A 23,849-nucleotide genomic window follows, 5' to 3' on the forward strand; every position below is an offset into this window, starting at 1 on the left:
TTGGGACCCCCTCCAGCTTGGCACCACACACTGGCTCCATGCCTCCTCCTTCACTCCTCTGCCACACCACCCCACTCCAGGTATTTCTCTGTCCTCCAAAGACAGTGAGTCTCAAGTGGTGTCCAGCTGGTGGCTGGGGGGCTGAGCTGGCAAAGCCCAAGGAGTTCAGAGAGGGAGAGTGGAAGCAACCCCAACTCCTCAAGCCAGAACAAGCACAGCCTGGCACACTGAGCCTGGGCAGAGGCAAGGGGATGCATACACTGGCCAGGGAGGTAGAGGAGCTGAGTGGGGAGGTTCTAGGGGATCCAGAGTCACATGGACAAGATCTCATGCCTGCTACGAGAAAGCCATGAACTCAAACTCTTCTCTCCAGATGAAACCCTGGGACTTCAATGGACTCAAGAAAAGGAAAGCAAACAATGGAAAATGGGGCTGGTTGGGGGCGGAGTGGGGGCAACCTTCCCTTCATGACCACCCTATGAATAGAAATAAAGAGCAGAAGAGCAAGAGTCTGGGAGCTGTGAATCGGGTGCTCAGGCTGGGCCTGCTCAGTCGTTGAGGAGAGGGGAGGAGGAAGGGGAGTTCACACACAGGAACCATGAATATGACGGCAAAACGAAGAAAGCTGGGAGCAGTCCGGGGTACTGGACTCCACAGGAGCAGGCCCAAGCTGTAGCAGGATGACAATGACTGATGCAATTAATATAGTGAACCAGCTGGGCACAGTGGCTCACGCCTGTAATCCTAGCACTTTGGGAGGCCGAGGTGGGTGGATCACCTGAGGTCAGGAGGTCGAGACAAGTCTGACCAACAAGGTGAAACCCCGTCCCTACTGAAAATACAAAAAGTTAGCCGGGCATGATGGCAGGAGCCTGTAGTCCCAGCTACTCGGGAGGCTGAGACAGGAGAATTGCTTGAACCCAGGAGGCGGAGGTTGTAGTGAGCCGACATCGCGCCACTGCACTGCAGCCTGGGCGATGGAGGGAGACTCCGTCTCATAAATAAATAAATTTAGTGAACCATGAATTTACTGCTATCACCTTCTTCACTTCGTACAGCCCTGGAGGAAGGGGTTATCATTCCCATCTTCCAGATGAGAAAACTGAGGAATCAGAGAGCTCGTCCAGGGGCACATAACCTCTAAGTGACAGAGCCAGGATTTGAACCTAGATCTGCCAGGCCCCCAAGATAACCACGAAGAGAGAAAGAAACAGAGGCTAGAGCCCCAGGAGGAAGGAGCTGGCAGATCGTCTCTGAGGGTGGGGCTGTGGCTTCTCTGATCTCAGGCCCCCATCCTCCGCCCAGGCCCCGCCCCTGCCCCTCCCAGCACTGCCTGGAAGTGTGGGGTGAGAGCTCCTCCTAGGACACCCCTTTCCCCTTGGGGAAAGAATTGTGCCCCCAGGCCCTTCCCCGCGGAGGTCCCTCTCCTCCTTCCCCCTCATCTCCCCTTCCTGGGACAGAAAGTGCCTCCACCTGCATCCCCAGGGGCCCGGCCTCCAGGGCCCGCTGGCCCCACAGCAGGCAAGCTGAGATGACGGTCAAGCTGGATTTCGAGGAGTGTCTCAAGGACTCACCCCGTTTCCGGTAAGTGTGAACTGGTCTGGGGGGCTAAGGAGGGGAAAGTCTAACACCCCCAGCACACACACACCTTTCCCCAGGCCAGGTCTCCTTCCAGGGAGCAGGCCTCTAAGAGGCAGGAGCGAGCCTGTGGGCCAAAGTGGTACCCCAGCTGTGAAAGCAGGGTACTCCAATGCTCTCTGCCCCTGCATGCTCCTCCTGGCCTCTGCAGTTTCCCTCACCCCTAGAGCTGGCATTCCCTCTGGCCTCTCAGTGGGACCCCTGCCCCTCCCCCAGCACCTGCTCTGGGGCGGTTAGCAACTTCCTGCCCTGGCCACATCCACCCTCCTTCTACCCTTCCTGCTCTGGCCTGGGCTGTGGTAGCTCCCAGACTGCAGAGCGGGCAGAGCACAAGTAGGTGGGTGGGGGGCGAGCCTCTCAACTCTGCAGCTTTCTCCTCCGTACCCACCGCCCTGCGACTCCATCCCGCCTGATGAGGCAGACAGACCAGATGGACCCAAGCTCTCTTCCCATGACCCCCTCTTTCCCAGAGCCTCTATTGAGCTGGTGGAAGCCGAAGTGTCAGAATTGGAGACCCGTCTGGAAAAGGTGACCCTGACATGGAGAGGTGACCCAGGAGTGGATTAGGTTGAGAGGGGTAGGGCCAGGGAGAAAGCTGGAGACACAGAATGCATCCCAGGGATTATTGAATACTGTGTAGGGGAGATATTTTGGAGACTGCAGAGAAGCAAAAAAGGTGGTTCTGTACCGACAAGAAGCTCAGGATCTTGGAAAACAAGACTTACTTTTGGGCCAGGCATGGTAGCTCATGCCTGTAATCCCAGCACTTTGGGAGGCCAAGGTGAATGGATCACCTGAGGTCAGGAGTTCTAGACCAGCCTGGCTAACATGGCGAAACCCCATCTCTACTAAAAATGCAAAAATCATCCAGGCTTAGTGGCACCCATCTGTAGCTCCAGCTACTCAAGAGGCTGAGGCAGAGGAATCACTTGAACCTGGGAGGCGGAGGTTGCAGTGAGCCAAGATCGCACCACTGCACTCCAGGCTAGGCGACAGAGCGAGACTCTGTGTCAAAAAAAAAAAGACTTAATTTTGGACTTCCTTGTTCTGCTCTTGAGCTCCTGCATTGTGCCAGGCCCTGGGCATTCAGGGAGGACAAGATCATTTCTGCTCCCACGGAGCCCAAAGGCTGACTAGAAGACAAACCAGTGAAACGTTTCAATTCAAGACAGTAAGGTGTCCCCTGAGCACTCTATCAAACAGCATGTTCACACAAATACACACTCAAATGCTCTCTCATTCCCCTTACTTCGCTTTACTTTTCTCTGCAACATTTACCTCTGACACATTATGTATTTGCTTGCTATATATTAGTTCTCTATTGCTGTGTAACAAATTGTCACAAATTTAGTGGGCAACATTGTTTTATGGGCAACATGGTGAGACCTCATCTCTACAAATAATAATTTTATTTTTATTTTTATTTATTTGAGATGGAGTCTCGCTCTGTCACCCAGGCTGGAGTGCAGTGGTGCGATCTCGGCTTACTGGAACCTCCACCTCCCAGGTTCAAGTGATTCTCCTACCTCAGCCTCCCAAGTAGCTGGGATTACAGGTGTGCACCACCACACCTGGATAATTTTTTTTCTTTTTGTATTTTTAGTAAAGACAGGGTCTCACCATGTTGGCTAAGCTGGTCTTGAACTCCTGACCTCAAATGATCTACCTGCCGCAGCCTCCCAAAGTGCTGGCATTACAGGCTTAAGCCACCGCACCCGGCCTACAAATAATAATTTTAAACAATGGACTGGATGGAGTGGCCACAGCTGTGATCCCAGATGCTTCAATACTGGGCTCAAGTGATCCTCCCTCCTCAACCTCCCCAGTAGCTGTGCTACAGGCACATGCCACCACGCCTGGCTTTTTTAAATTTAAATTTATTTTTTGTAGAGATGGGGTCTCCCTATGTTACCTAGGCTGGTCTGGAACTCCTGGCCTCAAGTAATCCTCCCACCTCAGCCTCCCAAAGTGCTGGAATTACAGGTGTGAGCCACCACACCTGGCCTGAATTTTTTATTTTGAGTAAATTATTGACTCAGGAGACTAGTGAGGAGAGGTCTCATGTACCCATCACCCAGCTTCCCCCAGTGGTGACATCTTATACAATACTAGTACATTATTAAAACCAGGACATTAATAGTGTCACATTACAATTAACAATAAACTCGGCCAGGTGTGGTGGCTCACGCCTGTAATCCCAGCACTTTGGGAGGCCAAGGTGGGCGGATCACGAGGTCAGGAGATCGAAACCATCCTGGCTAACACTGTGAAACCCCGTCTCTACTAAAAATACAAAAAATTATTCGGGTGTGGCGGCAGGCGCCTGTAGTCCCAGCTACTCAGGAGGCTGAGGCAGGAGAATGGCGCGAACCCGGGAGGTGGAGCTTGCAGTGAGTGGAGGTCGTGCCACTGCACTCCAGCCTGGGCGACAGAGTGAGACTGTCTCAATAAACAAAAACAAACAAACAAAAAACCCCAATAAACTCTAGCCAAGCTCAGTGGCTCACGCCTGTAATCCCAGCACTTTGGTAGGCTGCGGCAGGTGGATCACGAGGTCAGGACTTCGAGAACAGCCTGACCAACATGATGAAACCCCCATCTCTACTAAAAATACAAAAATTAGCCAGGCGTGGTGGCACGCACCTGTAATCCCAGCTACTCAGGAGGCTGAGGCAGGAGAATTGCTTGAACCCAGGAGGCGGAGGTTGCAGTGAGCCGAGATCACGCCACCACACTCCAGCCTGCGGAGGTCGCAATGAGCCGAGATCGTGCCACTGCACTCCGGCGTGGGCGACAGACCAAGACTCTGTCTCTAAATAAATAAATAAACTCTATAGATCCTACTTTGATTTTACATTTTGCATATACTCTTTTTTGGTGTTTTTGTGTATAATTCTATGGTACTTTATCACGTGTATGGATTCCTTTAACCATCACCACACACCAATGGACACAAGGAATTCCTTTACAGTGGTACCCGACACCCTTCCCACACTTCTTTAATCTGTGGTAACCGCTGATTTGTTCTCCATCTCTCTACTTTTGTCATTTCCAGAATGTTCCATATATAGAATCATACACTATGTGACCCTTTGAGATTTGGCTTCCCCCTCCCCCCTCACTCAGAATAATGCTGCTGCCGGGTGTGGTCGCTCATGCCTGTCATCCCAACTACTCAGGAGGTCAAGGTAGGAGGGTTGCTTGAGGCCAGAAGCTCGAGACCAGCCTGGGCAACATAGCAAGACCCTTGTCTCTAAATAATGTTCTGTTTTGTTTTTAAATTAGCCAGGCATGGTGGTGTGTGCCTGTAGTCTCAGCTACTCAGGAAGCTAAGATTGGAGGATCCCTTGAACCCAGGAGTTCAAGGCTGCAGTGAGCTATGATCCCACCACTGCACTCCAGCCTGGGCGACAGAGACCTCAACTCTAAAAATAATCATAATTTTTTAAAAGATGAATGCTCTTGAAGTTTATCCAAGTTGTTGCACATATCAACAGTTTGTTCCTTTTTATTGCTGAGTACTGTTCTATTGAACAGATGTCCCAGTCTGTCACTAGTCCAGTGTTATGAAAGTTTCTTACTCATCTAAGGGGGAGGGGCTGAGATGGTAAGGAAAAAAACTAGACACAGAGTCCTCAGATTCACACAGTGATTTGTGAACATCCTTGTACCTTGTCACAGACAACCCATGGTGATGTCTGATAAGATTTGATCTCGGTCAGGCCAGGTGCAGTGGCTCATGCCTGTAATCCCAGCACTTCGGGAGGCCGAAGCAGGTGGATCACCTGAAGTCAGGAGTTCGAGACCAGCCTGGTCAACATGGTGAAACCCCGTCTCTACTAAAAATACAAAAAATTAGCTGGGCGTGGTGGCGGGCACCTGTAATCCCAGCTACTCTGGAGGCTGAGGCAGGAGGATCGCTTGAACCTGGGAGGTGGAGGTTGTGGTGAGCCAAGATCATGCCATTGCACTCCAGCTTGGGCAACGGAGCAAAACTCCGTCTCAAAAATAGAAAAATAAAAAGAGATGGGGTTTCACTATGTTGGTCAGGCTGATATCCAACTCCTGACCTCAGGTGATCCACCCACCTCAGCCTCCCAAAGTGTTGAGATTACAGGTCTGAGCCACCTTGCCTGGCCTATCAAGTCTCTTTGTCAGTCAAAAGAGCCAGATAGGATGGGCCCCAGGAGTACCCCGGCATTTCCTCTTGGCCCTGACCCGTGGTCTAGATGATGGATTAATATTTATGAGGGAACGTGCAGTGAGCACAGAATGGGACAACTCCTAGCAGTAAATACTATAGATTTTATTTATTTATTTATTTTTCGAGACAGAGTCTCGGTCTGTCACCCAGGCTGGAGTGCAGTAGCGCCATCTCGGCTCACTGCAGCCTTGACCTCCCGGATTCAGGCAGTCCTCCTGCCTTAGCCCCCCAGGTAACTGGGATTATAGGCACTTGGTGCCATCTCAGCTCACTACAGCCTCAGCCTCCCGGGTTCAAGCAGTCCTCCTGCCTTAGCCTCCCAAGTAGCTGGGATTACAGGCATGTGCCACCATGCCTGGCTAATTTTTGAATTTTTAGTAGAGATGAGGTTTCACCATGTTGCCCAGGCTGCTCTTGAATTCCTGAGCTCAAGCGACTGGCCCGCCTTGGCCTCCCAAAGGGTTGGGATTACAGGTGTGAGCCACCACGCCCGGCCAATACTGTAGAATTTAATAGCAACCAGGTAGAGCATCCAGACCATGCAGGAATCTCCACGGAGCTCTGGATCTAAGCAGGTAGGCAGGGCAGGAAGAGATATGTGCGAGTGGACAGGGAAAGATGTTTTGGAGGTAAGGCTGACAGAGGTGTTGGCGACAGGCTGAGAGGAATGGGCAGGAATTGGGTTTCAGGCCCAAGGCAGTGGGAGCAAAGACGCAGCGATAAGAACACAGCAGGTATGTGTTAGATACAGGGAGAGCTGGATGAGCCTGGAGGGCAGTGAGGCCAGGCAGGAATAGGGGAGCGCCGCCCTGGGCAAGGGGAGAGGAAGTGGGGCAGGTGTGGGGGCATCACCAGGTGTGAGGATGATGGCACAGCTCCCTGTTACCCTCCTTCTTTCCCAGCTCCTGAAACTGGGCACTGGTCTCCTGGAAAGTGGGCGCCATTACCTTGCTGCCAGCCGCGCCTTCGTTGTCGGCATTTGTGACCTGGCCCGCCTGGGTCCACCAGAGCCCATGATGGCGGTATGCGGAGGGTCTGCATCTGGGAGGGAAGGGGTCTGGGATGAGGAGGTGATGCTGTGGAAGAGGAGGGCTGGCCTGGGGTCTGCAGGTTCCAGGCCACAGCAGGGCTGGGCTGCTGTCCATGACAGCCGTAGCAGGCTGGGTCTCGAGTCGGGAGGGTGCTGCCACCCCATGCCTGGTACTCTTTCTGTGCCTCTTCTTGCCTAGGAGTGTCTGGAAAAATTCACCGTGAGCCTGAACCACAAGCTGGACAGCCATGCGGTAAGTAGGGGAAGGTAAGGATTGTCGGGGTGGTGGCCAGGTCACCTGTGGTCCTGACCCCAGTCTACCAACTTCTCCTTCCCTCAGGAGCTTCTAGATGCCACCCAACACACACTGCAGCAGCAGATCCAGACCCTGGTCAAGGAGTGAGATGGGGCCGGGCGCAGTGGCTCATGCCTGTAATCCCAACACTTTGGAAGGCCAAGGCGGGAGGATTGCTTGAGCCCAGGAGTTGGACACCAACCTAGCCAACATGGCGAAACTGTCTCCACAAAAAATACAAAAATTAGGCCGGGCACGGTGGCTCATGCCTATGATCCCGGCATTTTGGGAGGCCAAGGCGGGCGGATCACCTGAGGTCGGGAGTTCGAGACCAGCCTGTCTAACATGGCAAAACCCCAGCTCTACTAAAAAATACGAAAAAAAAAAATTAGCCGGGCATGGTGGCAGGTGCCTGTAATCCCAGCTACTCAGGAGGCCGAGGCAGGAGAATCATTTGAACCCAGGAGGTGGAGGTTGCAGTGAGCCAAGATCGCACTACTTCACTTCAGCCTGGGCAACAGAGTGAGACTCTGCCTCAAAAAAAAAAAAAAAAAAAAAAAAATAGCCGGGCGTGGTGGCACATGTCTGTTGTCCCAGCTTCTTGGGAGGCTGAGGCAGGAGAATTGCTTGAGCCTGGAGGTCAGGGCTGCGGTGAGCCATGATTGTGCCACTGTACTCCAGCCTGGGTAACAGAGCAAGACCCGGTCTCAAAAACAAAAACAACAACAACAACAAAAATTTTTTAAAGGGGGAGTGAGATGGGAGAGAAGGGGGCCTTATTTCTCGGAAACCAGCCCTGCTGCCCTCTTCCCATGGCCACAGGAGCCTCCCCAGTGACGGAGTTGTGAGATTGGGGGTTTCTGGTGTCCTGACTTCCGTCCCAGGGATCACCTTGGGTTTCCCACGTTGCAGAGACTAACTGAAAGGACATGAGGGCTTTACCCTGGGAATGCTCTGCTGGGGCAGGTGGGTGTTAGCTGCGATTCTGTGTTATTTTCCCATCCTCAGAGGTCTGCGGGGTTTCCGAGAGGCTCGCCGGGATTTCTGGCGGGGGGCTGAGAGCCTGGAGGCTGCCCTGACCCACAACGCAGAGGTTCCCAGGCGCCGGGCCCAGGAGGCAGAAGAGGCAGGAGCTGCTTTGAGGACGGCTCGAGCTGGGTACCGGGGACGGGCACTGGATTATGCCCTGCAGGTGCCTGCCCCAATCTGTCTTCCTGGGGTACCAGAGCCTCAAGTGTCACCTCGAGGCTTGGGGGTCTCCAGTGTGCAGTGGGAAGGGGTGCTGTGTCTTCAAGACTGATCTGGGGTTTTTTACGTCCTCTTTTACGTCCTCAGATCAACGTGATTGAGGACAAGAGGAAGTTTGACATCATGGAGTTTGTGAGTTGTGGCGGGGGTGAGGGCAGGGTGGAGAAGAGCCTGCTGCCAGCACAAGGGAATGGGGAGAGGGGTTCTTCCTCAGCCTTCCCACTGCCCGCCTTGTCCCCCAGGTGCTGCGTTTGGTGGAGGCCCAGGCTACCCATTTCCAGCAGGGCCATGAGGAGCTGAGCCGGCTGTCCCAGTATCGAAAGGAGCTGGGCGCCCAGGTGGGGCCCCAGGGCACAGCAGGTGGTAGAGGGAGGTTAGGGACTCCTAACTGGGGGGCCTTGGACATCTGAGATGCCCTTCCTGTGCCCAGTTGCACCAGCTGGTCTTGAATTCAGCACGAGAGAAGAGGGACATGGAGCAGAGACACGTGCTGCTGAAACAGAAGGTGAGGGGCCAGGTGCGGTGGCCCACGACCGTCATCCCAACATGTTGGGAGGCTGAGGTGGGAAGATTGCTTGAGGCCTGGAGTTCAAGATTAGCCTAGGCATCGTAGTGAAACTCCATCTCTACAGAAAATTTTAAAATTAGCTGGTGTGGTGGCATGCACCTCTAGTTCTAGCTACTCAGGAGGCTGAGGTGGGAGGATTGCTTGAGCCCAGGAGTTCAAGACTGCAGTGAGCTATGATCACACAACTGCACTTAAGCCTGGGTGAAAGAACAAGACCCTGTCTCTAAAAATAAATTTTAAAAAGTATTTCAAAAAGCAGAAAGTAAGGGCTAGGGCTGTGGGCAGGAGGCAGATGCCTATGGCCTTGGTGTCTGCCCATCTCAGTTGCCCTTTGATCCTCTTGTGCCTCCAGGAGCTGGGTGGGGAGGAGCCAGAACCAAGCTTAAGAGAGGGGCCTGGTGGCCTGGTGATGGAAGGACATCTCTTCAAACGGGCCAGCAACGCATTTAAGACCTGGAGCAGGTGAGGAGAGGACACCCCCAATCAGCCCGCCCCACCCAATGATGTATTTTCGAGTGGTAATAGCACACTAAGCACTGCAAGGAAAAACAGACGAACCCCCCTGCCTCAGTAGAGTTTCATTCCATCAGCAAAGACAGAGGATAAACCTAGTATGTAAATTACGTGCTATGTTAGAAGGTGATAGTGCTTGCTATAGGAGAAAGATGATAAAGCAAGGGATGTGGGGAGCTGGGTAGGGGTTACAGTTCTAAATAGTTGGGCAGTGTGGGCTTCATGAGAAGGTAACTTTTGAACAAAGACTTGAAGGATATCTGGGGGAAGAAAGTTCTAGACAGAAGAAAGAGCCAGTGCCAAGGCCCTGAGATAGCTGGGGAGTTGGAAGAGCAGGGTGGTGGCCCTGGGTCTGGACAGAGTGAGGGAGGAGGATGTGCAGGAGATGAAATCGGAGCTAATGGGGGCATGAGTCATTATAGGGCCCTATAGATTTTTGTAGGGATTTGGGGTCTACTCTGAGAGCAATTGGGAGCCGCTATAGGGTTTGGAACAGGATGGTGGCATGCTGTGACTTGACTCCTTTCCCTTCTAGGGCCACTGCTAGCCCACATGGGATCTCTGTACAAATTAGAAAATGGAGCTGCTTCCCCAAGATACTCTTTTTTCTTTTTCTTTTCTTTTTTTTTTTCTGTTTTTTTTGAGATGGGGTGTCACTCTGTTGCCCAGCCTGCAGTGCAGTGGCGCAGTCTCGGCTCACTGCAACCTCTATCCCCTGAGTTCAAGTGATCCTCCCTCCTCAGCATCCTAAATAGCTGGGACCACAGGCGTGTGCCATCACGCTCGGCTAATTTTTGTATTTTTGGTAGAAACAGGGTTTCACCATGTTGCCCAGGCTGGTTGCAAACTCCTGACATCAAGCAATCCACCCGCCTCGGCCTCCCAACTTGCTGGGATTACAGGCGTGAGCCACTGTACCTGGCCCCCAAGATTCTTTCTTTTCTTTTTTTCTTTTTCTTTTTTTTTCTTTTTTGATGGAGCCTCGCTATGTTGCGCAGGCTGCAGCACAGTGGTGCGATCTCAGCTCACTGCAACCTCAGCTTCCTGGGTTCAAGCGATTCTCCTGCCTCAGCCTCCCAAGTAGGTGGGATTATAGCCGCCTGCCACCACGCCTGGCTAATTTTTGTATTTTTAGTAGAGACGGAGTTTCACCATATTGGTCAGGGTGGTCTCAAACTCCTGACCTCGGGTGATCCACCACCCCCATCAGCCTCCCAAAGTGCTGGGATTACAGGTGTGAGCCCAGCCTAAATAGTATTTTTTAAATTGTAGCAATAGACATTTTATTAGAAAAAGAATTTTACTGCCATCTGCTGGAAAGTTGTCTTCATAACTATATGAAATCTGGGTTGTCCAAGATAGGAATAGCATCCTTTAGATGTTCCAATCTGCACAATTGTCCACCCTTCTCTGGAATGTCTCGTGGAACAGTCAGCCCAGGTGTCTGTCCTCTCAGTAAGATCCTCATGGGCAAAAAGCACAGCCTCTCTTCCGTCCCTCATCCTAAAGCTGCCTATGTCTGTAATGATTTCCTTCTCTTACAGACGCTGGTTCACCATTCAGAGCAACCAACTGGTTTACCAGAAGAAGTACAAGGTGAGTGGACCTGGGTCCTGGATGCCTGGGCCCCAGGGAGACTCAGCTCTTGCCTGCAGCTGGACATCTGGCCCCTTATCACCTTATCCTGCCAGGACCCTGTGACTGTGGTGGTGGATGACCTTCGTCTCTGCACAGTGAAACTCTGCCCTGACTCAGAAAGGCGGTTCTGCTTTGAGGTGGTGTCCACCAGCAAGTGAGTGCAATCCCCAGGGGTGATACTCTAATATATCTAAACAACTGCCAATCTGAAAGGCAGGGCCCACCACAATGGAGGCCCCCCATGCAGCTCCAGACTTTAATTTAATTCTTTGGCGGCTGGACTGGGGGGCCATTGTGGAAGAGGGTACAGGGTGATGGGGGATATTTAGGAGAATATTACCAACTGGTACAGAAGTCTTTCAATGCAACTGGAACTGGTTGAATACTGGCTGAATGTCAGTCTGCCCATGCTGCCACTTTGCTTCCCAGGCCTCAGACCCCTCTGCCATCTCCCTCACCCTCCTACCTAGGTCCTGCCTCCTCCAGGCTGACTCAGAGCGCCTCCTGCAGCTGTGGGTCAGTGCTGTGCAGAGCAGCATTGCTTCTGCCTTCAGTCAGGCTCGCCTTGATGACAGCCCCCGGGGTCCAGGCCAGGTACCTTAACCTGGGGGTGCGGAGCCAGGCTGCCTGTGGAGATGGGGCACCCTTTACCCTAGGCCCCTTGGCCACCCTTTCTTCCCCTCTCTCCCCCAGGGCTCAGGACACCTGGCCATAGGCTCTGCTGCCACCCTGGGCTCTGGTGGAATGGCCAGGGGAAGGGAGCCTGGGGGAGTCGGGCACGTGGTGGCCCAGGTCCAGAGTGTGGATGGCAATGCCCAGTGCTGCGACTGCCGGGAGCCAGCCCCGGAGTGGGCCAGCATCAACCTTGGTGTCACCCTCTGCATTCAGTGTTCCGGCATCCACAGGTTACTCCACAAGGCCCATGCGGGAGCCCCACTCCTTCGGGCCACAGTGCGGCTCCAATACAGAGCGCATCACACCGGCCCCTCTTCCTTCCCTGTCCTGGCTTCCTCTCTTAGCTTCTGGCTTTGTCACTGGGTACCAGGCCTGGGCCCAAGCCTCTGGGGTGCCAGTTGGACCCAGGCGGGCCTAGCCCCTCTGTGTCCTAGTCTGGCCAGAATTGGGGGATACCCAGAATTTGTTGGCTTGGTTGGAAGAAGTGTGGGGTCAAGGCTGCTGAGGGTGGGGGAGCCAGTGAAGACTAGGCAGAGAAACGGTCATGAGGCCTTAGCAAGTATCTAAGGCCCTCGCCCCCCACCTCAGTGTGGTGGAAGGGAGGTGACATGGGAGAGGTTGTCCAGGCCAAAGTGTCACAAGTGTCACTAGAGAAGGGAGGTGGCTGGAGTGATGAGGGCCTTGAAATGAAACCTAAGGAAGAAGGAATGGTGACGAGGCAGAGTCCTGCCAGGGCCAGGTCAAGGCTACATGGCGGTTACATGGCCGCAGCTGCCCTGCCTCCTGGGCCAGCACCTCTGCACGGGCCCCCATGCCAGCCTTGCCTCCCAGTGTCTTCAGGAGCAGCAGCAGCTCCCCAGGCCACTGCCCCCCTGCACAGGGCCTGACCCTCCCCCTCTGGCCCTCCAGGAGCCTTGGTGTTCACTTCTCCAAAGTCCGGTCTCTGACCCTTGACTCATGGGAGCCAGAACTAGTGAAGGTAACTTAGCGTATTGTGAAGATTGGGGGCAAGAACTTGGGGTGGGGCAAGGACATGGCGGTGCAGGGGCGTGATCCCTGAGGAGTCACTCACCCCCACCTTCCCTGTCTCTGCCTCTGCCTGGGCCTCCTGAAGCTCATGTGTGAGCTGGGAAATGTCATCATCAACCAGATCTATGAGGCCCGCGTGGAGGCCATGGCAGTGAAGAAACCAGGGCCCAGCTGCTCCCGGTGAGCTTGGGGTTTAGCCTCCCAGGGGAATGGGGGACCCCTGGAGCAGAAGAGGGAAGACTGCGTGCTTCTCCCCTCCCACAGGCAGGAGAAGGAGGCCTGGATTCACGCTAAATACGTGGAGAAGAAGTTCCTGACCAAGCTGCCTGAGATTCGAGGGCGAAGAGGTGGCCGGGGGCGCCCAAGGGGGCAGCCTCCTGTGCCCCCAAAGCCTTCCATCAGGCCCCGGCCAGGGAGCTTGAGATCCAAGCCAGGTATAGGGTTGGTTGGGCATTCATTGAGCATCTGCTGTGTGCTCGGCATCGTGCCAGGTAGCGCCGGGAGGCACAGAGTGTGAAGCCCAGGCCTTCCGCTGGACAATGTCGGAGGGACCGGACTGCCGTTTCAGGGGTTACGGTGGAGTGTGACATTAAGAATGAGAAGGAATGTGGGGCTGGGCGTGGGCAGGGAGGGTAAGGGGTGCCAACAGCACAAGAAAAGGAGAGAGAGAGGGGGTGGGTTTGGCTGGAGCGTCAGGGGTTGAGAGCTGAGGCCAAGTGTGGTTGGACCAGATGAGGTGATGATGCCGTCTCTCCCCCACACCCTAGGGACTCGTACACATGCATACGCATACTTACACATACCCACACTTGCATCACTCTATTCCCTCCACAGTCCCAAGCTCCCCATCATTTAGAAGAGACCTGTCCCATTATAGCATTGGGACACTGCTGAGGGTTTTCTTCCCAGACTCGGAGCTGCTTCCCCCTAACAGAACCAAATCCCCCGAACAGAGCCCCCCTCTGAGGACCTGGGAAGCCTGCACCCTGGGGCCCTACTGTTTCGAGCGTCTGGGCATCCTCCATCTCTTCCCACCATGGCTGATGCCCTTGCCCATGGAGCTGATGTCAACTGGGTCAATGGGGGCCAAGATAATGCCACACCGCTGATCCAGGCCACAGCTGCTGTAAGAGCCCTGCTGACCTCTCCACCCCACCCTAGGGCTCTGACACCTACTCCTGACTCTGGGCCCTGCCCTTACCTCCTTTCCCCACCACCTGTTCCCTAGGGCTTCCACCCATAGGGAGAGATCAACAATAGAGACTGGTTGCTAAGAGTGTGTGATTTGGAGGCAGAGAACCTGAGTTTGAACCCAGGCTCTCACCTCTTACAGGAGACTTTTTTTTTTTTTTTTGAGACAGTCTCGCTCTGTCCCCCAGGCTGGAGTGCAATGGTGCGATCTCGGCTCACTGCAAGCTCCGCCTCCCGGGTTCACACCATTCTCCTGCCTCAGCTGCCTGAGTAGCTGGGACTACAGGCGCCAGCCAGCATGCCCGGCTAATTTTTTGTATTGTTAGTAGAGATAGGGTTTCACCGTGTTAGCCAGGATGGTCTGGATCTCCTGACCTTGTGATCCACCCGCCTCGGCCTCCCAAAGTGCTGGGATTACTGGCGTGAGCCACTGTGCCCGGCCTACAGGAGACTTTTAACAAGTTATTAACCTCTCAGCCTCATCTGTAAAATAGTAACATACCTCAAAAGCTTGTACTATGGATTTATATATGAATACATGCAAAGAGCTAGAGCCAAGCCTAGCTTGGTTACAGTTAGCTGTAACCCCTTCCACACTCCTGATTACCACACTCCACCCTCCCATTCTCTGAACTGGCGCCACCCTAAGACATCTTGAAATCCACCACTAGGGATGCCACCCTCAACCCCCCTTCTCGACTTCTCCATGCAGAATTCTCTTCTGGCCTGTGAGTTTCTCCTCCAGAACGGGGCGAACGTGAACCAAGCGGACAGTGCGGGCCGGGGCCCGCTGCACCACGCAACCATTCTTGGCCACACGGGGTAGGGATGATGGCATGGGGAGGAAGGCTGGGAGAAGTTGGGCGGCCGGCTGACCCTGGCTCTTCTCTCCAGGCTCGCCTGCCTGTTCCTGAAACGGGGAGCTGATCTGGGGGCTCGAGACTCTGAAGGCAGGGACCCTCTGACCATCGCCATGGAAACAGCCAACGCTGACATCGTCACCCTGTAAGAATGCCTGAAGGGGCGGGGCTGGCGCTGGGACTCCCCCCACCCCCGCCCACCCACGTTCGGGCGGGCGGGCGGGGCTGACGCCGAAACAGAAGCCTGTGCTGTGGGGCCTCGGAAAGGGGCTGGGCCAGCGCCGGGGCCAGGCTCGAGAAAGGCTGCGCGAAGTGTGCACTGGGACGTGGAGTAGAAGGCAGGCGGGAGGGCGGGCAGGGTGCAAGGATGCTTGGCCCACCCTGAGAGGCGTAATTCGCCCATCAACATTGCTGTCAGGCATCTTTTTAGCACTAGACGTGACCCCGGGGGTGGGGGCAGATGAACGGAACGCAACCCAGCTCAAAGGATGGGAAGTTGTGGGGGAGGTGAGGATAGTCTTTTTTTTTTTTTTTGAGACGGAGTCTCACTCTGTCGCCCAGGCTAGAGTGCAGGGGCGCGATCTCGGCTCACTGCAACCCCCGCCTCCCGGGTTCAAGCGATTCTCCTGTCTCAGCCTCCCCTGAGTAGCTGGGACTACAGGCGTGCGCCACCACCCCCGGCTAATTTTTTGTATTTTTAGTAGAGACGGGGTTTCACCATGTTGGCCAGGACGGTCTCGATCTCCTGACCTCGTGATCCGCCTGCCTCGGCCTCCCAAAGTGTTGGGATTACAGGCGTGAGCCACCGCGCCCGGCCAAAGATAGTGTCGTTCATTTCTTAATTCCCTCCTCTTCAGGCTACGACTGGCAAAGATGAGGGAGGCTGAAGCGGCCCAGGGGCAGGCAGGTAAAGAATACACCCACCCCACCCCCCAGGCCCAACACCTGAACTCTGGGCTTCTGGTCCACGGTGACCTCTCTCCCTAGTGCCCAGCTGCATTCATTCCGTTATTTAACAAATGCGTATTGGGCGCATGCGACGTGCCAGGCCCTGGCAAGGCATAGGTGCTGGCGCAGTGCCCGCGGCGCGCACGTTCCCACCCAGGCTCGGAGCGCGAGGTCCCCAGGTGGGCCCCAACCGCCGGATCCTGCCCTTCTGCACTGGGGCCCAGCCGCCTCCCGGCCTTTCCTCCCTCCCCCAGGAGATGAGACGTATCTTGACATCTTCCGCGACTTCTCCCTCATGGCGTCAGACGACCCGGAGAAGCTGAGCCGTCGCAGTCATGACCTCCACACGCTGTGACCCGAGGCCCACGGGGCCCGCGCCTGCCTCCCTTCCCCGCCACCGGGCCCTCTGCCATTAAAGCCTCCGTGCTTCGCTCTTCCCTTCTGGTTCACTTCTTGGGCGCCACCTTCGGGCCCGTAGGGTGTTGGGCGCTGCGGCTCCCGAGGTGCGGGGAGCAGCTGGGGGTTTGCGAGCTCCAGTCCAGCAAGGTGCGACTCCGGGGAGCGAGGCGGCAGCTTCGGCCGCGGCCTGAGCGCAGGGCGCTGCGGGGCGGGGGCTCTCGGGCTGGGGCGACGTGGCCAGCCCAGTCCTGCCGAGGGGTGGGGCTGGCCCTGGGGCTCGCTGGCCCCGCGCCGCCGCGGAGAGAGCGCGCCCGGGCCACCCCGGCTGGAAGGCATCCCCGGAATGCGGCGGCTCAGCACCCGCCCCCTCGGGAATTCCCCGGGGGAGCCGCTGGGAGGGACTCGGCTCCCGGGCTGGGCCGGCCGGGCCTCGGGCTCTGAGCGGTGGGATTAGAGGCTCCAGCCCCGCCGACTTGCAGACGTGAGATCGGGCACACCTGAGCGGCGGCGGGGCGGTCGTGGCCACATCCGGGGCGACGTGCCTGAGTCACCCCGTCCCGCCAGCGTCTGCCAGTCCAGCCAGTCCGCCCAGTCTCTCGCGTCCGAGACTCGCCTCCAGCCTCCCACCTCCGCCCGGGCCGCGCGAGCCTCGCGGGGGCGGGGGCGGGGCGCCAAGGGGCGGGGCTGTCTCTTAAAGGGCCCCGGGCCGCTGCCCTTAGGCCACTTCCTGGGGGCGGAGAGGACCTCAGCGGCTGCGGCGACACCCAGGGAAGGCGGCGCGGCCGGGTCCCGAAACTCCTGGCTGTTTCCATCAGAGCCCTCGGACACTCCCAGCCCGGGCTGAGCACGCATCGTCGCTCCCCGGCGGATACAAGGGGGCTCCGCCATCCGCTCCCGTCAGTTCGGCCTCCATCTCCTGGGACCCGCGCCGGCAGCCAGGCCAGGCCTCTGAGTGGCCCCAGAGCCCTGGCTGGACTCGTCCACGGCGGCAGCGATCTGCCCGGGGTCTCGGAGGCCATCCCTTCAGAGTCGGCCCTGTGCTCGCCACCGTCACCTGCTGGTTGGATTCCGGAAACCCACTGTCTGAAGACCACAGAGGGGTGTCGCTGACCACCCCAAATCGGATACGTCCAGACCTCAAGCTCCCTTCCCCTCTCTGGCTGCCCTCTGCTCTTTTCATCTCTTCTCTCAACCTTTTGGGGATTTCTGTGTCCTGACACCACCTCCCCATCCACCACCAAAGTAGCCGGGGTGAGCCCCAAACCTTACTGGGTGTGCTCCACCTGTGCCTCCAACCCAGCGAATCTGACAGCTTCGACCCAATTCTGCACACACCCAGGAAGTTCTGCCTTTTCTTTTCTTTCGGTGTCTCCTGTACTTCCCAAAATTTCTCCTCCTCCTGTGCCCTCTTCGCCCCCCTCCTTTGGGGGCCCCGTGACCCTGAATGTGGGGGGCACACTATATTCCACCACTTTGGAGACCCTGACCCGCTTCCCAGACTCTATGCTGGGGGCCATGTTTAGGGCCGGCACCCCCATGCCCCCCAACCTCAATTCCCAAGGAGGCGGCCACTACTTCATCGACCGGGATGGCAAGGCCTTCCGGCACATCCTCAATTTCCTGAGGCTGGGCCGCCTGGACCTGCCCCGTGGGTACGGAGAGACAGCGCTGCTCAGGGCAGAGGCTGACTTCTACCAGATCCGGCCCCTCCTGGACGCGCTGCGGGAACTGGAGGCCTCTCAGGGGACCCCTGCACCCACAGCTGCCCTGCTCCACGCAGATGTAGATGTCAGCCCCCGCCTGGTGCACTTCTCTGCTCGCCGGGGACCCCATCACTATGAGCTGAGCTCCGTCCAGGTGGACACCTTCCGAGCCAACCTTTTCTGCACCGACTCTGAGTGTCTAGGTGCTTTGCGGGCCCGATTTGGTGTGGCCAGTGGGGATAGGGCAGAGGGGAGCCCACATTTTCATCTGGAGTGGGCCCCCCGCCCCGTGGAACTCCCCGAGGTGGAGTATGGGAGACTGGGGCTGCAGCCGCTGTGGACTGGGGGGCCAGGAGAGCGGCGGGAGGTGGTGGGCACCCCAAGCTTCCTGGAGGAGGTGCTGCGGGTGGCTCTCGAGCACGGCTTCCGACTAGACTCTGTCTTCCCCGACCCCGAAGACCTGCTCAACTCCAGGTCTCTGCGCTTTGTCCGGCACTGAGGATGCTGTTCTCAGTTTGACTGTGGGGAGGAGAGAGAATGGGGTACTAGCACCCCTGAAGCCTCTTTCCAGCTCTGCTTCAGGAGCTATGAGAGTCGGGACTCTCCTGCACCTGACTGGAGCTCAGATGTGGGCAGGAATTCCCAAACCTGAGCCCACCAAGGACTCACAAGTGGTCCAGAAGGTCTCAACCTGTGCTGACCCTGGGAGGGGTAGGGAAGGTTCTCTCAGCTTGTTCTTGCCTAAGGCTGAGCACCTCCAGTCTCTCCTTGATTTGGAGCTCAGTGTTTAAGGGCTTGGAAAAGGGGGGAACATCTCTTTACCCAGACTAGACCTAGCAAAACCCTGGAAGGATATTGAGGTCTGGGGAAAAGGGAGGACTTTGCATTTTCCCAATGCGGTCTCTTGGACCATGGCTTCTACTCCTGAAGCTGGGTGGCCTGGCCTGGCCTGACCAATGAGAGGCCAGAACACTCTGGAACATCGGAAGAGGAGTTCTTTGCTATGTTCCAAGCCATCTACTGAGGGAGGCAGAAAGGCCACAACCCACCCTAGGTTGATGTATGGGAGCTAGGACAGTCCCCATGGCAATGGGGCTGGAGCATCCCTCATCTGGAAGAATCCCATACTGATGGCAGGGCTGGCCAGGGGGAAGAGGGTAGTATCTGTGGGTCCTGGCCTTTCTTCATGTGTGCGTGCATATCAGCCCGTGTGGCTGACTGATGTATAGGTCCCTGGCATCCTGGTTCATATCTGTGTTGCTGACTACAGTGTCTGTGATGTCCGCATGTCCAGGCCTGTTTGGGGTTGCCTAGCGACTCTTCTGGCACAGGGTGTGTCTGTGGTATACCTGTGAGGTGGTTGACAATTAGTAGTTTAATCACAGGGTGTGTGTGTGTGTGTGTGTGTGTGTGTTTATGTGCACGCATGTATATGCATCACCACGTAGCCAGGAGGGGCCTGTTGGGGTTTGAGTCACTGGGATCTTCCTGGTGAGAGGTAAGAGAAGTCACTGGGCTTAGCTGGGCCTCTGAGGCCTGTATGGAACTCTTGGTTGCTGAGGCAACCATGGACCTGTTGCTAGGAGATAGCTGGGGAAGGCCCAAGGCCGCCCAGGGCAGAGAGAGGAGACGAAGAGTTTGGGACAGTGGGGGAGGAGATGGGAAGGGATGGGATTTCTGGGTCCCAGAGCGGGTGGGATACTCACGCACAGCTTCTTCACTGGTGGGGGGTGGGGCACACATTATTTCTCACTGGTCATGATTTACAAGAAGAAAAATAAAACTGCTTTTGGAACCACAAACTTGTGAAGGCTGTTGAGGGCCAGGTTGGGGGTGCTGTCCCCTCACAACAGAAGCCCTGCTTTCTCTGCCCATCGCCTGCTGGAGATGCCTTCTGGACCCCAGTTCCTTGAGCCCCAGCTTTACCCCAGCTGAGGATGGGCAGTGCCATTGTTCATTGTTCTGGAACATTCTAGAACCTCCAGGCAAGGGCTGGAGCCAGGGCTGCAGAGCATTCCTCGGCTCAGCTGGGGCAGCGCCGCCCCATCCCCCAGTGGTCCTCATGTGGAGGCTGGCACTAGGCGGGGTTTTCCTGGCAGCCGCCCAGGCTTGTGTCTTCTGTCGCCTCCCAGCCCACGACTTGTCAGGCCGCCTGGCTCGGCTCTGCAGCCAGATGGAGGCCAGGCAGAAGGAATGTGGGGCCTCCCCAGACTTCTCGGCCTTTGCCTTAGGTAGGACCAGACATCCAGGGATGGGCCCAGCAAGCACTCACCCCCCTACCCCCAGAGGGTGGCATGTGACCTTCCAGCTGTGCCCTCCATCTGTGGCCCTTTCTGGACATGCTGGCCTTTCCCTCTGAGAGAGCTCCATATCTGGGAAAGTCAGGAGAGACCCCAGAACCTGGGCTGATGAGGGAATCGCTGGTCCTTGCCCATCTCCACAGATGAGGTGTCCATGAACAAAGTCACAGAGAAGACTCACAGAGTCCTGAGGGTCATGGGTGAGGTCAAGGGGAAAGAGTGACCTAGGGGCTTGGGAGGATACCAAGGAGAGGGACGGGTGACAGGGGTTGGGGTGGGCAGGGAAGGGTGGAGGGGTAGAGACAGGAGGGCTGATCAGGGAGGGGCTGCGTGAAGAGAGGGGGAACTGGCCCCGTCGAGGCCCAGGGAAACGGAGCTGCTGTCTGCCTCCCCAGAAATCAAAGAGGCTGTCTCCTCACTCCCTTCATATTGGAGTTGGCTTCGAAAGACCAAGCTCCCTGAGTACACCAGGGAAGGTACCGATGCGGGATGGGCCTCAAGGGGAGCCTAGGGTCTTAACCAAAGGAATGTGTGGTGAGCAGCTCATCCATTCACACCCCCACCCCTTCCTTGTCTTTCATTTCAGCTCTCTGTCCCCCCGCCTGCCGTGAGTAGGAAAGGAAAGGGGTAGCAAGGACCTGGGGCCTGCAGGGTGTCAGAGGAGGGCCTGGCAGCTGCAGGAGGAAGCTGGGTACCAGGCAGGGTGGAGGCCCGGCCTCCCCTCCCCAGCGTTGCCTCTGCTGTCTCCTGCAGGGGGCAGCACCACGCTGTACAACTGCTCCACCTGCAAGGGGACGGAGGTGTCCTGCTGGCCCCGAAAGCGCTGCTTCCCAGGTCCTCACGCCCATCTTGGCCCCGCCCCACCTTGCCCAGATCCCTGAGCCCTTGGGCTCCCAAGTCGGTGCGTGTGGGTCCCAGAATCATTCACTGCCTCCTGGGTTCCCTGCAGGAAGTCAGGATCTTTGGGAAGCCAAGATTCTGCTCCTCTCCATCTTCGGAGCTTTCCTGCTTCTGGGTGTTCTGAGCCTCCTGGTGGAGTGAGTTTTGGGATAAAGACAGGAATCCTACCCCGCCCAGTGCCTTCCACCACCCATCCTCCCTCCCTCTGTCCCTCCCAGGCCCCTCCCGTAGGCTTCCCACCCTCGTCTTCCCTCAGGTCCCACCACCTCCAAGCAAAAAGTGGCTTGTGAAGACGCTGAAAACCTCCCAGCCTCCAGCTCTAAGGGGTATGCACTCACAACTTCCACATCCCTTGGAGGGGAACCAGTCAGCCCCTTAGTCCCAGCTCCAAAGACAGTCTCCAGACCCTAAAACCCAGACATCCCTGCTTCTGGTTGGTGAGATAATGAAAAACAAGAAAATCCCCAAAAACCCAGATCCCCCACAATCCCAGTGTCAGATGGCCTCCCGGGAACCCAGGCACCCACAGCTGGAAAGTTCCTCCCCTCCAGCCCTCAACCAATCACATGGCTGTCAACAATGCCAGGAAAATATCTACAGAAGGAAAGAATCCCCTACGCCACTCCCACCACACCCACACCCCCTTCTGCCTGTTCCGGGAAAGCGGGGGCATCTGCCCCAGAAGCTATTCCAGGCCCTCCTATGACTGATGGGGAATCCGGGAATGCATGTTCTGGAAAACTCACCCCACTAGAGTGAGATCACATCAGTGGGTTCGCGGGCATGCCCTCCCTCCATCGTGTTAACAGTTTGAAATCCTGGCCTCCCTCAGAGGCCTCCATCCTGCCAGGCCTAAGTAAAACTTGCTGTTCATGGCCTCTGCCCCTGCCTAGCCTCTGTCTGCAACTGGGGAGGGCAGAGGAAGGATGGGAGACTCTCAGAGTAGCACAGTGCTTCTCAGATGGGGGTGATTTTGCACCCCAGTAGACATTTTGCAACATCTGGAGTCGTTTTGGATTGTTTTAACTGGGGGGACGTGCTACTGGCCTCTGGTGGGTAGAGGCTAGAGATGTTGCTAAACATCCCACAACACACAGGAAAGTCCCCACAGCAAAGAATTATCCCGTCCAAAATGTCAGTGTTTACCAGGAAAGGGAGATAGGAGAAAAAAAAAAAGAAAAGAAGAAAAAGAAGAAGGAGGAGGAGGAGAAGAAGAAGAAGAAGAAGAAGAAGAAGAAGAAGAAGAAGAAGAGGAAGAAGAAGAAGAAAGAAAGAAAAGAAAGAAACAAAATGTCAGAGCATGGTTGAGAAACCCTGGTGTTTTGTCCCCTGCCTATCAGGAGTTTTTGGTTTGGGAATGGAACGTGGGACATGGAACATGAGAAGAGAGGCCTGTTGCCAACCACAAGGCACAGTCTGAGTGCCTAGGCCTGGCAGGGATTCCAGCCCTTACCTAGCCCAGGGGTTTTCAAACTGGGTACCTCGAGGCTCCAGGGTAAGCGTTCTCAGCCAGCTGCATATCAGAACCACCTGGGCAGCCTTAAAACTAGCTGTGCTTTGGCCCCAGCTCCAGAGATTCTGGAATAAGTGGTCCTATATGGGGCCTTGGTTACTGTAACCCACAGCCAGGGTTAGAATCATTGTTTGGGGTACCCAGAGAGGTCCTAAGGATGGGTAGAAGAACTCCTACCCCTTCCACGGTAGTACCTCTCTCTCTCTCTCTTTTTTTTTTTTTTTTTTTTGAGACGGAGTTTCGCTCTTGTTGCCCAGGCTGGAGTGCAATGGCGCGATCTTGGTTCACTGCCACCTCCACCTCCCGGGTTCAAAAGATTCTCCTGCCTCAGCCTCCCAAGTAGCTGGGATTACAGGCACCCGCTACCACGCCTGGCTAATTTTTGTATTTTTAGTAGAGATGGGGTTTCACTATGTTGGCCAGGCTGGTGGCGAACTCCTGACCTCATGTGATCCACCCACCTCAGCCTCCTAAAGTGCTGGAATTAAGGTGTGAGCCACTGCACCCAACCGTACCTCGCCCTTTTTTTTCAATATATATATTTTAAAAATTTAAAAATTATTATTATTATTTTGAGACAGAGTCTCATTCTGTTGCCCAGGCTGGAGTGCAGTGGCATGATCTCAGCTCACTGCAAACTCTGCCTCCTGGGTTCAAGTAATTCTCCTGCCTCAGCCTCCTGAGTAGCTGGGATTACGGGTGCCTGCCACCATGCCTGGCTAATTTTTGTATTTTAGTAGAGATGGGGTTTCCCTATGTTGGCCAGGTTGGTCTCAAACTCCTGACCTCAGGTGATCTGCCTGCCTCGGCCTCCCAAAGTGCTGGGATTACAGGCATGAGCCACCACACCCAGCCGATTTTTAAAATTAAAAAAATATATATATATATTAAGAGACAAGGTTTCACTATGTTGACCAGGCTGGTCTCAAACTCCTGGCCTCAAGCAGTCCTCTTGCCTCAGTCTTCTAAGTTGTTGGGATTACAGACATGAGCCACTGCATTCAGCCAAGTATCTCTCTTTTTGTTTTACACATTCAATTCCAATCCCTTCATATAACACATGAAAAAAATGAGACCCAGAGATCATGTAAGATCATATAACTTGTCCAAGATCATACAACTCATTCATTCATTCATTTGACAAAGACTTAGTGAGTATCCACCCACCAAGAGGGATGGGAAGCCACATTTCCTGCC

General features: G+C 55.6%; 3 protein-coding genes across 15 annotated transcripts, besides 11 other annotated features; all 3 read left to right on the forward strand.

Moving 5' to 3' along the window:
- Window positions 769-1,530: an enhancer, noted in NCBI's record as "H3K27ac-H3K4me1 hESC enhancer chr17:7239291-7240052 (GRCh37/hg19 assembly coordinates)". NCBI's record gives its function as "activates a minimal SCP1, AML or CMV promoter by ChIP-STARR-seq in primed H9 embryonic stem cells {active_cell/tissue: H9 hESC(primed)}" and the evidence as "EXISTENCE:reporter gene assay evidence [ECO:0000049][PMID:30033119]".
- Window positions 1,188-1,397: a silencer, noted in NCBI's record as "silent region_8109". NCBI's record gives its function as "represses an Ori minimal core promoter by ATAC-STARR-seq in GM12878 lymphoblastoid cells {active_cell/tissue: GM12878}" and the evidence as "EXISTENCE:reporter gene assay evidence [ECO:0000049][PMID:35858748]".
- ACAP1 (ArfGAP with coiled-coil, ankyrin repeat and PH domains 1) lies at window positions 1,326-16,274 on the forward strand. 4 transcript variants are annotated; one of them, XM_047437150.1, is made up of 22 exons: window positions 1,326-1,584; window positions 2,060-2,166; window positions 6,745-6,864; window positions 7,072-7,125; window positions 7,213-7,271; window positions 8,176-8,359; window positions 8,503-8,547; window positions 8,658-8,753; window positions 8,846-8,920; window positions 9,336-9,445; window positions 11,041-11,092; window positions 11,188-11,288; window positions 11,605-11,728; window positions 11,828-12,039; window positions 12,719-12,788; window positions 12,924-13,018; window positions 13,103-13,272; window positions 13,792-13,964; window positions 14,742-14,851; window positions 14,924-15,034; window positions 15,747-15,796; window positions 16,092-16,274. In XM_047437150.1, exons 3-22 carry the CDS (start codon window positions 6,856-6,858, stop codon window positions 16,190-16,192), a joined length of 2,001 nt encoding a protein of 666 aa, XP_047293106.1. In that variant the 5' UTR covers window positions 1,326-1,584; window positions 2,060-2,166; window positions 6,745-6,855; the 3' UTR covers window positions 16,193-16,274. The 4 variants fall into 4 exon arrangements, with proteins under 4 accessions (XP_047293106.1, NP_055531.1, XP_047293107.1 ...); NM_014716.4 differs by having other exon boundaries at window positions 2,109-2,166; XM_047437151.1 differs by lacking the exon at window positions 2,060-2,166.
- Window positions 1,531-2,292: an enhancer, noted in NCBI's record as "H3K27ac-H3K4me1 hESC enhancer chr17:7240053-7240814 (GRCh37/hg19 assembly coordinates)". NCBI's record gives its function as "activates a minimal SCP1, AML or CMV promoter by ChIP-STARR-seq in primed H9 embryonic stem cells {active_cell/tissue: H9 hESC(primed)}" and the evidence as "EXISTENCE:reporter gene assay evidence [ECO:0000049][PMID:30033119]".
- Window positions 13,778-13,827: an enhancer, noted in NCBI's record as "active region_11616". NCBI's record gives its function as "activates an Ori minimal core promoter by ATAC-STARR-seq in GM12878 lymphoblastoid cells {active_cell/tissue: GM12878}" and the evidence as "EXISTENCE:reporter gene assay evidence [ECO:0000049][PMID:35858748]".
- Window positions 14,668-14,757: an enhancer, noted in NCBI's record as "active region_11617". NCBI's record gives its function as "activates an Ori minimal core promoter by ATAC-STARR-seq in GM12878 lymphoblastoid cells {active_cell/tissue: GM12878}" and the evidence as "EXISTENCE:reporter gene assay evidence [ECO:0000049][PMID:35858748]".
- Window positions 15,008-15,147: a silencer, noted in NCBI's record as "silent region_8110". NCBI's record gives its function as "represses an Ori minimal core promoter by ATAC-STARR-seq in GM12878 lymphoblastoid cells {active_cell/tissue: GM12878}" and the evidence as "EXISTENCE:reporter gene assay evidence [ECO:0000049][PMID:35858748]".
- Window positions 16,028-16,087: a silencer, noted in NCBI's record as "silent region_8111". NCBI's record gives its function as "represses an Ori minimal core promoter by ATAC-STARR-seq in GM12878 lymphoblastoid cells {active_cell/tissue: GM12878}" and the evidence as "EXISTENCE:reporter gene assay evidence [ECO:0000049][PMID:35858748]".
- Window positions 16,158-16,217: a silencer, noted in NCBI's record as "silent region_8112". NCBI's record gives its function as "represses an Ori minimal core promoter by ATAC-STARR-seq in GM12878 lymphoblastoid cells {active_cell/tissue: GM12878}" and the evidence as "EXISTENCE:reporter gene assay evidence [ECO:0000049][PMID:35858748]".
- Window positions 16,268-17,037: a silencer, noted in NCBI's record as "silent region_8113". NCBI's record gives its function as "represses an Ori minimal core promoter by ATAC-STARR-seq in GM12878 lymphoblastoid cells {active_cell/tissue: GM12878}" and the evidence as "EXISTENCE:reporter gene assay evidence [ECO:0000049][PMID:35858748]".
- On the forward strand, window positions 16,959-19,741 carry KCTD11 (potassium channel tetramerization domain containing 11). Of its 2 annotated transcripts, none has more exons than NM_001002914.3 (1): window positions 16,959-19,741. In NM_001002914.3, exon 1 carries the CDS (start codon window positions 17,740-17,742, stop codon window positions 18,436-18,438), a length of 699 nt encoding a protein of 232 aa, NP_001002914.1. In that variant the 5' UTR covers window positions 16,959-17,739; the 3' UTR covers window positions 18,439-19,741.
- Window positions 19,494-20,020: an enhancer, noted in NCBI's record as "H3K27ac-H3K4me1 hESC enhancer chr17:7258016-7258542 (GRCh37/hg19 assembly coordinates)". NCBI's record gives its function as "activates a minimal SCP1, AML or CMV promoter by ChIP-STARR-seq in naive H9 embryonic stem cells {active_cell/tissue: H9 hESC(naive)}" and the evidence as "EXISTENCE:reporter gene assay evidence [ECO:0000049][PMID:30033119]".
- Window positions 19,953-22,016, forward strand: TMEM95 (transmembrane protein 95). Of its 9 annotated transcripts, none has more exons than XM_017024568.2 (8): window positions 19,953-20,170; window positions 20,383-20,439; window positions 20,635-20,715; window positions 20,826-20,846; window positions 20,993-21,073; window positions 21,189-21,276; window positions 21,396-21,465; window positions 21,691-21,712. In XM_017024568.2, the coding sequence occupies exons 1-7, from the start codon at window positions 20,002-20,004 to the stop codon at window positions 21,427-21,429; spliced, it is 531 nt and encodes a 176-aa protein (XP_016880057.1). In that variant the 5' UTR covers window positions 19,953-20,001; the 3' UTR covers window positions 21,430-21,465; window positions 21,691-21,712. The 9 variants fall into 9 exon arrangements, with proteins under 9 accessions (XP_016880057.1, XP_016880058.1, NP_937797.1 ...); XM_017024569.2 differs by having other exon boundaries at window positions 21,633-21,695; NM_198154.3 differs by having other exon boundaries at window positions 20,969-21,073; window positions 21,396-22,016.
- Window positions 20,021-20,547: an enhancer, noted in NCBI's record as "H3K27ac-H3K4me1 hESC enhancer chr17:7258543-7259069 (GRCh37/hg19 assembly coordinates)". NCBI's record gives its function as "activates a minimal SCP1, AML or CMV promoter by ChIP-STARR-seq in naive H9 embryonic stem cells {active_cell/tissue: H9 hESC(naive)}" and the evidence as "EXISTENCE:reporter gene assay evidence [ECO:0000049][PMID:30033119]".
- Window positions 22,017-23,849: the final 1,833 nt, after the last annotated feature.

Source organism: Homo sapiens, chromosome 17 (assembly GCF_000001405.40).
Source record: "Homo sapiens chromosome 17, GRCh38.p14 Primary Assembly".
Taxonomy (NCBI): Eukaryota; Metazoa; Chordata; class Mammalia; order Primates; family Hominidae; genus Homo; species Homo sapiens.

What these genes read in the sequence shown, in the direction of transcription:
- ACAP1 (NM_014716.4), top strand. Translation starts at nt 1,532, where the DNA reads ATGACGGTCAAGCTGGATTTCGAGGAGTGTCTCAAGGACTCACCCCGT. An exon ending in AGTTTGACATCATGGAGTTT is followed by an intron (nt 8,548 to 8,657) that starts GTGAGTTGTGGC and finishes CTTGTCCCCCAG; the next exon opens with GTGCTGCGTTTGGTGGAGGC. An exon ending in GAAAGGAGCTGGGCGCCCAG is followed by an intron (nt 8,754 to 8,845) that starts GTGGGGCCCCAG and finishes TCCTGTGCCCAG; the next exon opens with TTGCACCAGCTGGTCTTGAA.
- KCTD11 (NM_001002914.3), top strand. Translation starts at nt 17,740, where the DNA reads ATGCTGGGGGCCATGTTTAGGGCCGGCACCCCCATGCCCCCCAACCTC.
- TMEM95 (XM_017024571.2), top strand. Translation starts at nt 20,002, where the DNA reads ATGTGGAGGCTGGCACTAGGCGGGGTTTTCCTGGCAGCCGCCCAGGCT. An exon ending in CCCTGAGTACACCAGGGAAG is followed by an intron (nt 20,716 to 20,825) that starts GTACCGATGCGG and finishes CTTTCATTTCAG; the next exon opens with CTCTCTGTCCCCCCGCCTGC. An exon ending in CCGAAAGCGCTGCTTCCCAG is followed by an intron (nt 21,074 to 21,395) that starts GTCCTCACGCCC and finishes GTCTTCCCTCAG; the next exon opens with GTCCCACCACCTCCAAGCAA.